At 38.5% G+C, this 12,096-nt stretch overlaps 1 protein-coding gene across 1 annotated transcript in view; it reads left to right on the plus strand.

Moving 5' to 3' along the window:
* Positions 1-1,949: 1,949 nt before the first annotated feature.
* The window catches only part of POU2AF2 (POU class 2 homeobox associating factor 2), a 40,677-nt gene continuing 30,530 nt past the window's right edge, over positions 1,950-12,096 (plus strand). The window contains exon 1 of the mRNA NM_198498.3: positions 1,950-2,088. Coding sequence (NP_940900.2) covers positions 2,079-2,088 — 10 coding nt within the window. The 5' untranslated portion in view covers positions 1,950-2,078. The remainder of the gene's footprint in view (positions 2,089-12,096) is intronic.

Genomic DNA, 12,096 nt, shown 5'->3' on the forward strand with positions numbered 1-12,096 from the left:
TGCTGTGAGGGTTCGTCTTTATTCTATCAGCAATGGGGAGTCACGTCTGTTTTTAAATGGTTCCCTTTTCTGCTTGAAAGGTTTAAAAAGTTCTAGCCTCTTTTAAAAGCACAGTATTTAGAAGAATCCACATGCTTCTCAGGTATCTACAAAGAAATTGTGACTAGTTCACTTAATAATGTTATGTTTCATTTGAATATAGAGCTTTTGGTATGAAGAGTTAGCAAGAACAGATTGGGATGACTCCTAGGGCTCCCCTGCTTGGAAAAAAAAATACAAGTCTTGGTGGCTGCCGGGTCAGCGTGACTACGCTTTCCTTGTCTTCTCATTTGCCTAAAAGGAGTGAAGGAAATGGTACAGGAAGCTGGGAAATTGAGTCAAATGTATTTTGGTATTCTTGTATAAATGTGGAAAGCACAAGTGCAGACACCTTCAGATTTGTGCATTAGAATGCCCTAGAACCTCATTTAAACTACGGATGTCCCTCTTGAGAAGCAGTTCCCAAACATTCCTGTTTCAGGACTCCTTTATTCTCCTATAACTTATTGAGGACCCCCAAGAGCTTTTTTACTTAATATGAGTTATAGCCATATTATGTTAAAAATCAAAACTAAGAATTTTAAAACGATTCATTTAAAAACAATAATAAATCATTATGTTAACATTAATAAACTTTTATTTAAAAAATATATTTCCCAAACCAAAACAAAAATTGAATGAGAAGAGTGGAACAGCTTTGCATTTTTGTAAACTTTCTTAATGACTAACTACGTAGAAAACAGCTGGATTTTCATATCTGTTTCTCCAATATCAGATATCACAATCTGTTGTGATATCGCTGTTTTCTCTAGAAAACTCTCCTGTACCTTCATGAGAGAATGGGAGAGTAGAAGGCAAATGACTGACTAGTTTTATTGTGAAAATAGTTTGGACTTTTGCAAAACCCCTCAACCAGTCTCCAGGACTCCAGAGTCTCTAGAACATATTTTGATTCTAGATTCCATTGGTCTGACATCGGGCAAGAGTACCAGAGGCACAGCTAAGCTTGAGAACCACTAGATGATACCCACTGGAAGTCCTGAAATGCCACGTGTTGTACAAATCTAGAATGCCTAGGAAGATGTCCATGAACTCTAACTCTGTTTAGAACTGGGAGGTAGAACCAAAATTAGGTTAAGCAGCAATCGTGAGTAGTTGAAGATGAATGAGAGGAATGTCAGAAAGTACCTAAAAATTGGTTTTTAAAAATTTTTTGCTCTAGAAGAGTTGACAACACTATGTATCAAAAAGACTCTTTTTTAAAAAAATGAGAAAGCTTGTTTTAAAACATAACTATTCAGGCCCTACTTCAAAAGATTCTGAATTCCACAGCAGTGGGAGCTGGACAAAGATATTTTTAACCAGCTTCACAATTGATTCTGATGTACTAATAGGATTAGGGACCTCAGCTATACATCATATATTTATGTTTTAGACATAATAAAATGGCAAACCAATTGTATTAAAGTGACATTAATTGTGATTCCTATTCCTAATTGAAAACATTTTCTTAGAATTTTCATCTCCACCTGCAAGATGCCCATCTCTTAAAAATCATGTACCCATAACCTAAGTACTATAGGCATAGTACCTACTGGCAAATATGGGCTTTTGCATGCATACATATATACATACATTTTTTTTAAATATAACTCTAAATTAAAGAGGGTGGAAAATTCCACTGTTATTCATAAAAGAAATAAGAGATTCCTTTTTTTCATAATAAACTTTTAAGAGAGTTTGTTCCTAATGGAAATTCATTCATGGGGAATAAAAATCTTCATGGGGAGGGAAAAAGTACCTTCATATATCATCTACATTGAGGATGCAAATTGTAGAGAAACACACACCAAAGGATTTGCATTTAATCAAATCTAGAGCAAGTCATTTCAGAAGCATCACTACCGTGTGCAGAAGGCTTTCCCACCAGGGTCAGGCTGAGCTTTCTAGCAGACCAGGACCCCTTACCAAGGAGTGAACACCATTCACAAGAAATTCTGCACTGCTGTTAAGAAGGAAATCCACCAGAAACATCCAGAATGGAAAGTGGTAAGTCAACATCAATTATTATAATTTAAAAAAACTTTAATCCTAATTTTTATTTTTGATAACACAAAGTCATAACATAAAACAAAGGTTAAGGAGAAATCTCCTAACTCTGGCATAGAACATATAAAAATATAAAACACAGATCAAGGACTACCTATTTAGAACTCTTGGTAACATTTTCCTAATTCTAGTTACATTTAATTACTAATTGTTTGATTTTGTTTTGCTTTATAGAGTTTACAGAGATATTCTGAAAGATCAACTCAGTTGAACATTATTTTCATAAAATAAGTACTTGAATATCAAAGCCTTCTTTTCCAATATATAGTGAAATTTTATTTTAGCAAATTTCAGTAAGCTCTCAACTATAGAGAAAGTGCAGAAGAAGAATTCACATTCATATAGAACCTGAAACATCTTTTATTCATGCATCTTGTTTTAGGCTTTTAAGGCTAAGAAGTAAGGTCATTCTATTTACATATGATAAGGAAGAGTCTGGGCTGTTATTTCATGAATCTAACTAAATATAGATCTTTCCCCGGATGTTCATCCTGAGATACAAATGTGAATAGTCAACAGAGAGCAAAGCCCACCTGTTCGCGAACAAATTTAAGATTGAAAAAGTCAGCACTTTAAATGTTAACAAATGATGACAGAGGGAGCATTTCAAAAATGCCTTGTAAAGTACCTTAAAAGAAAAATTAATATTTTTTAAATGCTGCAATTCTTCAAAGTCTGATCTCAAAAGGTAAGAAGATAGAAAGAGCTCTAAGAGCATCTATCTTCTGCAGCATAAAATTGGTTATTAGCTGTGACAATTTTTAAAAAATAATAAATTGTATTGTGTATACTTGAGATTCACAGCATGTTATTATATAGATACAGATAGTAAAGATGGTTACTATAGTGAAACAGATTAATATATCTATCATGTCACTTAGTTACTTTTTTGTGACAAGAGCAGCTAAAATCTACTTATTTAACAAAAATCCCTAAAGCACTGCAATGTTATTAACTGTAGTCCTTATGTTGTACATTATATCTCTAGAGTTTCATCCTACACACTGGCTACTTTGTATTTTCTGATCTACATCTCATTTCCTCCCCCACCTCAATCCTACCTATGGTGACCAGTTTTATTCTTTATATACTTGACCTTTTTTTTCCCTAGATTCCACATTCAAGTGAGATCATGCAATATTTTTCTTCCCTGTCTGGCTTGTTTCACTTAGCATAATGTCCTCCACTTCCAGCCAAGTTGTGGCACATGGCAGGATCTCCTTCTTTTTAAGTCTGAATTTTATATATTCATACACATACACACACACAGAGAGAGAGAGAGAGAGAGAGAGAGAGACCGTATTTCTTTATTCATCCATCAACAGATGGCTGTTTAGGTTGTCTCTGTATCTTGGCTATTGTGAACAATGCTGCAATGAACATGGGAGTGCAGCTATTTTTACAAGGTGTTAATTACAGCTTCTTTGGGTATTGGATTCAGCTATGAAGGTACATTGGGAGGAGTTTGTGGATACCTACAGTGTGGGCAAATCAAACTTCAACAAAATCCTAATATGTTAACTGATTTGACCTAGCATCTTTAAAAGTTAGTCTTTATTTCAAGTTTAAGATTTCATAAATAGGCCGAGCGTGGTGGTTCATGCCTGTAATCCCAGCACTTTCGGAGGCTGAGGTGGGTGGATCATGAGGTCAAGAGATCGAAACCATCCTGGCCAACATGGTGAAACCCCCATCTCTACTAAAAATACAAAAATTAGCTTGGCGTGGTGGCGGGCGCCTATAGTACCAGCTACTCGGGAGGCTGAGGCAGGAGAATCACTTGAACCCAGGAGGTGGAGGTTGCAGTGAGCTGAGATCGTGCCACTGCACTCCAGCCTGGTGACAGAGCAAGACTCCATCTTAAAAAAAAGATTTCATCGTGTGTAGTATTTTCTGCTTAATAATATTTTGAATATTTCAAGATTAGTTTATGAGCTTGGAGACTATAAGTGGCCTTTTTTTTTTTTTTTTTTTAGACGGAGTCTCGCTTTGTCGCTCAGGCTGGAGTGCAGTGGTGTGGCGCGATCTCCGCTCACTGCAAGCTCCGCCTCCCGAATTCACGCCATTCTCCTGCCTCAGCCTCCCGAGTAGTTGGGTCTACAGGCGCCCGCCACCACGCCCAACTGATTTTTTTGTATTTTTTTAGTGGAGACAGGGTTTCACCGTGTTAGCCAGGATGGTCTCGATCTCCTGACCTTGTGATCCGTGTGGCCTTTTCTTGTATTCTCCTGGAGGTTTTCCACAATATAACTAACATATCATCTCCCCAGATTAGAAGTGAAACCACTAACCCTGAGTTCCTAGTGGGCGTAAGGCTTACTATTCATTCCTAATGGGTATCTGCCTTCCCTTCTGTGACAGGAGTCTGATTCTCAGTAATGTGGACTGAGCTGGGATAGTGGGGTGAGGGGAGGGATGCCCACAGCACCAGAGCTGGTACCTGAGCCAGACGCTGACCCAACACACTATATTGCCATTGCACTGTCCAGGACCTGATTCTTGGCATCTCCCTGACAGGCAGAGAATGGACCAAATATAGATCCATCCACCAATGACCCGTTCTGGATTTTAATTCTACTCTGTCTTGAGTGACAGTGTGGCTACATTCTAGTGTCAAGAGGGAGTGTAATTCGGAGAGACATTCTCTACCATCTTAATTGTGTCATTGTCTATCACATAACTCAGAATATAAATTCTTTATTTCTAAAGTTATGGGATGATTTTGCTTTTTCTTTCTTTTTCTTTGTTTGAACTATCTCTTTATTCCCTTACGTAAAGTCACAAAAACCTGCTTAAAAACATTAAATAATTTAAAAGCAGTAACAGGTACCTCAGAGAATGTCATCAAAAATAGTAAAAATAAGAAGGTGCTTTAAGTGCCATAAGTGTATTTGATATTTAATAACTAAAACAGTTTAAAAATCACCTGTATTTTAAATGACAAATTGATTTCAGAATACGTGTTTGATTTGATAGAGAAAACGTTTAATTTTGAAAAACAATCTTAAGGTAACATCACCATTAAGTCTACTATAGACTAAATTCTTCGTCATTAAAGTAAATGAGAAGGAGATGACATGACTGAGACAATTTGTTGCATGGACACAAACACAGTCCTACAGTGCAAAAAAACATCTTTTTCCAAATTCTACAGGATGAGTCGATTCCTATTAAATTTGCTTGTGCTTTCTTTCCGGAAGCACACGTCTTTGTTTTCTCAACAACTGATCTGAATGCAAGTTTGTATCTAGAGTATTTGAATAAAAACTCTTAAGCTCTCCTGGTGTATGCAGGTGTGGATTCTTTAAATAGACACAATGCACAGGGGAAAAAAATGTTTTGGAGTAGGAATCCTGGTAAAATTTTTAAACTCTAAATATCATTCCTCTCCAAAAAAAAGAAGGTGGGAGGTAGGATAAGTTATGAAACTTTCAGAATTCTCAAAAACATGAGGAATACTCAGCATATTTTAAAGAATTTGTACCAGTTTCCATTGCTTTGTTCAAATTTACTTTAATTCACCTTTTGTGCTGTTGCAAAATGTAAGCATTCACTTACCTGTACCCCTGCTTCAGAGCTTGGTTATCCCATTAGTCCTGGTTTGTCACCACCCAAACTCCCATGAAACCCCAGAGAAAGATTTCACCCTCACATCTTAGGAAACTGCTCTTTCCCATTTTCTAAAGACCTCCACCTTCCCAAACTCGACTGTCTTTCTTACCTTCGTTTTCCTCAACTTCTCTAAGGCGTTTCATTTATTTCATAAGCATTTATTGAGCAACTACTAAATACCAGATACTTGACAACACTGATTGTTCCTTTTTCTCTCTAACCCTCTTTCTTTCATTTTCCTGATGCTACTACTCTGGTATATTCCTACATTTCTGGCCTCTCCTCCGTGCACCCCTACCGCTTGAAGTCCTTCTCCAGCCCCTCTCTTCCCCTGCGCATCAGAATGGTAGCATTTCCCAAGACTTCAGGCTTGAATTTCTACTCTTCTCTTGCTACAAAGTCTTCCTTGGAGAACTTTACTTTCTTAGCTTCAATTACCATAATTCTAAAGATGCTTCTTAGATGTACAGTTTTTACCAGGTCCAGGTTCTCATATCTCCAGAATATTTTTATTTTTTATTTTATCATGTCACCACAACCTCAAAGCCAACATATTAAAAACTGCATTCTTCTTCCCCATCAAAACCGACTCTTTCCCCGACCTTCTTGACTTCTCTTATTAATCATAGTGCTGTTTTGGGGGGGTTGGGGGGTGTGTGTGTCTTTTCCCTTGAAAGGTCTCTTAAATATGTCCTTTCCTTGTCATTTCCAGTATTTCTGGCTAGCCTCTGTTTTACCATTTCCCATCCTCTCAGTTTCCTCATCCCCAGCCCATTCTAGAATCTATCCTCAGACTGAACTTCCAAAAAATATAAGAGTCATAGTACTCTTCTGTCCAAAAAATTTAGTGGTTTCCATACGTTACAACATAAACTGTAAATTTTTGCAGCCAAGTTTTTAAGACCTTTAACATGTCCATTATTTTCAACCAAAAACAAATTGTTTTCAACAAATATTTACTGAAAGCTTCCTGTGTTCCAGGCACTAGCACTTGGGATGCATGCATGAGTAAAAACAAGCAAAGCCCCCACTTCGTGGAGCTTACATTCTAGCAAGAAGCAGACAGACAATAAACAATAGATGTACTCCATAAGGAAATGATATAGGACATAATAGAATGGCAAGTGCTACACAGACAGAAAAACTAGAATAGAGTAAGGGGATCAGGAGTATTTTCTGGGGAGGATGCAACTTGAAATATGTTCTCCTTGAGAAGATGACATTTGAGCCAAGACTTGAAGTAGACAAAATCATTTAGCCATGTGGATAATGGGGAAAAGAGTACTCCAGACAGCAGAGACAGCCAGCGCAAAAGTCTTAAGGCAGAAGTATTCTTGGGGCACTTCAGAAACGCTGGGGTACAGTAAGCAAGGAGATGAGTCTTAGGAGATGAAACCCTGTTTCAGGGAACAGGGTCATGTAAAGCCATTATGAGGACTTTGGTTCTTCCTGTGAGCGTCATGGTGGACCATTGTAGGGTTTAGAGCAGATCAGGGACACAATTGAACTTGCGTTTTCAAAGGATCATCCTGTCTACTGTGTTGAAACTAGACTAGGGCAGGGTGGATGTGGAAGCAGGAAAAACAGTTGGAAGGCTGCCACAGTAATCTACATTACTGTAGAAATTGCCCTGGATGGAGCCTGGATATTATCAGAAGAGTAAAGAAAAGTCAGCAGACTCTGGATGTATTTTGTAGGTAGCACCATCAGGAATTGCTAAAGAATAGGCTGTGAAAGATGAGACAGAGGAGCCTAGAATGACTCTACAGCTTCAGGACTCAGTCACCACAAAGACAGGCTGCCATCAACTGAGATAGGAAAAGTTTCAGATAAAACAAATGTGGAAAGGAAGAATGGAGTTCATATTTGGATGTGTGGAGTTTGAGATGTCTACTAGACATCCAATCATAAATGGATATCCAAGACTGAAGTCCACGTCTGGGCTGGAGATACCCATTTGAAACTCGATTACATCTATATGGCATTTAAATCTAGTATCTCCAATTGTACTCATTCCTTACCACTGCACACATCTTTTCTGCTTCCTGTCTCTTTGTTCTTGCTCACAGATGCCTGCTGTCTACAAGGTCATTCTCCTTCCTCCTAACCTGTCCACATGCTTCTCATTCCAGCTTAAGTCCCATCCCTTCCCACAAAACTTTCATCAACAATCCAAAGTGTACTCTTCCCCCTCCCCTGCTCTTTCACATGTGAATGTCTGATTTCTCTCACTAAAATAAGATCTCTTTGAGGACATCTGCTATATGTTCTAAAGTTATTTTGCATCCCCTGTGGCATATAGCCCCGTGCTTTGCACTAAGTCAGTGCCAACTGGTACATAAGACTGATTGTTTTATGACAAAACTTCAGAAGTTTTGATCTGGATATTTGCCATCTCATGAACTTTATTCCTCTATTAATCACCATGTGGTTATTTGTTAAACTTATTTAGAATAGGTGTATTTCCCCTAGGCTTTTTGGCATACACATAAAGTATAGATTGCTAATTCAGATAAAAATCATCAATTAAAAAGCACTTTAAAAAGCAAAGTAGAGACAGTCTGCAAATATACAAAGGATCCAGCCTGGACCTCCTCAATTCCCAGGCCCTCCTCCTTCCCAGAGTTGTCTAAGTCCACATCGACCTCAGTCAGTCAGATACTCCCCCTCTTGCTCAGCCAGGACTGCGTAGATTAGAGTTGACCACCCCACCTCCACAGGAACCTTCTAAAGGCCTTACTCATATGTATATCTGTGGTTCTCCAACGTCAGAGAGCATCAGAATCACCTGGAAGGCTAGGCCCCACCCTAGGGTTTCTGATTCGGTACATTTGGAGTAGGGTCGGCGAATTTGCATTTCTAGCAAGTTCCTAGACAATGCTGATGCTGCTGGTCCAGGGATCACATTTGAGAATCACCGACGTATATTCTTTGACTTGTCTGTCTGGCTTTGACCCCTGCCTGGTTCTGCCCAGTTTTGAATTGCTCTCCTATGCCAGCCTGCTTGATGTGCACTAGAGCGGTCGTAGTAACTGGCCATACCACCACCCCGCCCACACCCTGACTTTCTGTATTTCAGTCTCAGAAGTTGAGGGTCAATTTGTGCCCTTGACCTTAATTTCTTTCTGCCTTTTCAAGACCTCTTTCCATCATTCTGTCCCTCTCTTCTAAGCCATTAGTCTTCCCTCTGTCCTCTTCAAATATTTTCAACTCTCTCCCACTCATAAATGCATAAATAGATATAAGAACATAAGCAAACCTCTCCTTGACACCATAATTCTCTCTAATTATCACTCAATCTCTTGTTTCCCTTTCTCATTCAAACTTCAAGAAGAAATAGTCTCCCCTTCCTGTGTCTACCTCCTCCATTGACATTATTGTCTGGCTTCCAGCCACCCCGCACTTCTGAGTTATTCTTGGTAAGCTCAATGCCAACCACTGAATTGAAAGTAAGAGATGTTTTTCTGTCTTTATCTTCCTGAACTACTCTGTTGCCTCTGATTTTTTTTAATTTCTTTCTTGAAATCTCTTCCCCAGAATTCTAGGATGCTTTATTCCCCTGGTTTTTCCTGTTTCTTCTCCAATTAGTCTTCCCTTATCTTCTTCATAGGGTTCTCCTCTCCTCCTCTGACAACCATTCAAATGTCACTGTTCCCCAGGCTTCCATCTTTAATCATTTAGTCCACAGCTTCCAAACCTGTGTGTCAGAAATCAGTGTTATAGGCATTCCAAAGATACTGATCCTCTTAGCTCTTGGAAGTAGCCTGACCTGTTTACCCCAGTATGCCAGGTGCTCATTATTCTTTTCTATGTGTGCCACCATGTGACTTTATCTTTCAATCACTCCCCCAAGGGATTTCATCCTCTTTCTTGGTTTCATTACCATCCACATCACGATGGTTCTGAAACTTATGTACTGAGAGCAATTCCATGGTGGAAACTTGAGATTCACCCTTGAATCTTCTTCTCTCTCATGTTTAAATAATGTTCAAACCTGTCTGATCCTTGCCCTCCCATCCACCACTACTCAGTCCCCATCAGCTCTTGCCTGGATTATTCTAGAACCCTCCTGACTGATCTTCCCGCAGCTTTGTGATTCTCAAAACCACCTTCCTCTCAGCTGCCAGAAAAGTCTATATAAAATGCAAATCAAACCAACATCACTGTCTTTCTTAAAAGCCCCCAATGGCGTATGGCCTAGAGGATGCATTCCAAACTCTTCCCTATACCAGAAACATCATGATTGACCCCTACTCATTTCCCCAGCCTCACTTCCTGCCACTTCCTCTTTCTGTCCTTGCCTCCAGGACTTTGCCCGTGCTGTCTTCCTACCTATTTTGCCATCACCACACACACCCTACCTTGCTTTAAGCCCCAACTCAGGTATCACCCTGCCTTCCCTGAGTCTCTCTCCCCGCTACAAGGAAGTGATGCGTTCTGGGTTTCTCTGACTATCCTAGGTGTATTTCTGTTCTTGCACTTAGCACGTTTGCATCACAATTATTTTATTTTAAAGTATTTCTCTCCCCACTAGATAGCCATGTTCTTTTGTATCCCCAGTTCTGACACACAGAAAACACTCAATCAATAATCAATAAATCAATGTGACCTTAGGCTTTTCCAAAAGTAGAGCATCACACACAATTCTAGAAGCAACATTTAGATTCCTTTGGAACAATCATAAGATCAGTAAGCTTTAAATTTGAGGCTGATTTCAAAGAAGTATTTCAAGCTTCTTTAATTATAGCATATATGGACCAAATCCTGTCAAAATTAGACACAAATGATGATTCAAATAACTTTGTTTTGCTGAAATAAGGCTGCATGTGGCTTTACTTGAATTAAATAATACATTGTCTTGGAACCTGGATTTGTTTTTCTTCTTCATTTTGTATCGGTGTTTTGTATGAAGCTTGTTAGCTTTCAAGGAATTTTCACATGTATATCCTATTTTTGCCTTCTAATCCTCTGAAGACAGCTAAGAAGAGGTGATTATACCCATTTTACACATGAGGAAAATGGAACTGAGAGATTATTATTGTTCCAAGCCAGTGACTAATGTGTAACTGTGATTACCAGCAACCTCTTTTCTCCAATGCACCATACTACCTCTGGTTGTAGCTTTAATTTCTTCCTTTCTTCCTTCCTTTCATTCTTTTTACAATCCAATTTGACTCACAAATCAAATATATTCTGGACTATCTACAAATTCAACCAGATTAGAGAATAATTTTGGTTATGTGCCTCATACGTACATTTGTTTTTATATTCTGCCATACACACTGATGCTGAATTCTGTACCAGCTGAATTTGCTGGTAAGCCAGCAACACCTCAACTATCATGTATTTAATTTTAATTAAATGGAAGTTGTCTAACCTACTACAGAACAACAATTATAATAATTATAGTTAGAAAACATCTTAGAATTCCTCTAGTGGAACCACTAATACAGTGTATAAATGCTTTCTAGAATAGGCCAAACAAAAGGTTCTCTTATTATTTCTTCACCATCCTCAGTAATAAGGTTCTCACTATCCCTAGAAGCAATGCTGTCAATTTTAGAACCTTGGGGAAACGTTTTACTCTATAGTCTGTTATCTCTCTGTAATTCCCTCATGGTGAAAACAGCATATTTTTCTGGTTGTTGATACTACAAACCGACCTAAGTCTGGATTCCAGCTCTATTGCTTATAAGTAGCTGTGAGACCTTGCAAATAATTTAGTCGCAGACCTCAGTTTCCCCATCTGTAAAACAGATCAAATGAAGCAATACATGTAAATTGCCAAGCACTACAACATCTTCAGGAAGTGAATATAGTAAGTGCTCAATAAATATTTGTTAAATGAATGAATGATTCCTTATTTATCCTCGGCCTTATTTTGAAGCAGTAACTCCTCATGTTGAATCACCGATTTTCAAAAACAAAACATTTATTTAGTGCAGTAAACCAATAACAAACAACTTTCTTCTTAGGAACGTAATCTTCTTAAAACTCCTGCTGACCTGCTCACTCCCATCAGGTATAATAGGGCAGGAATACTGTTATGCTGTAACCTGAATCATACAAATCTAACTTCTACCTCATGTATTTAGAAGCATCATTTCAAGTTGCATCCAATCCTTGGACTTGTGATTAAAGCATAATTTGTAAACCTTGCCAGAGTAAATCTTGACAAGTCAGAGTACAAGGAAGGGACTTTGAAGAGCTGTTGTGTAGATGATGGAACAGTGTTTCTGTCACTTAGTAGAGCTTAGATGAGTCTCTATCAAAGATCAGGAGACACGGCTCTATTGAAGCTACTCTATCAAAGCCACTTCAAATCCAGGAATTCTA

Source organism: Homo sapiens, chromosome 11 (genome assembly GCF_000001405.40).
Source record: "Homo sapiens chromosome 11, GRCh38.p14 Primary Assembly".
Taxonomy (NCBI): Eukaryota; Metazoa; Chordata; class Mammalia; order Primates; family Hominidae; genus Homo; species Homo sapiens.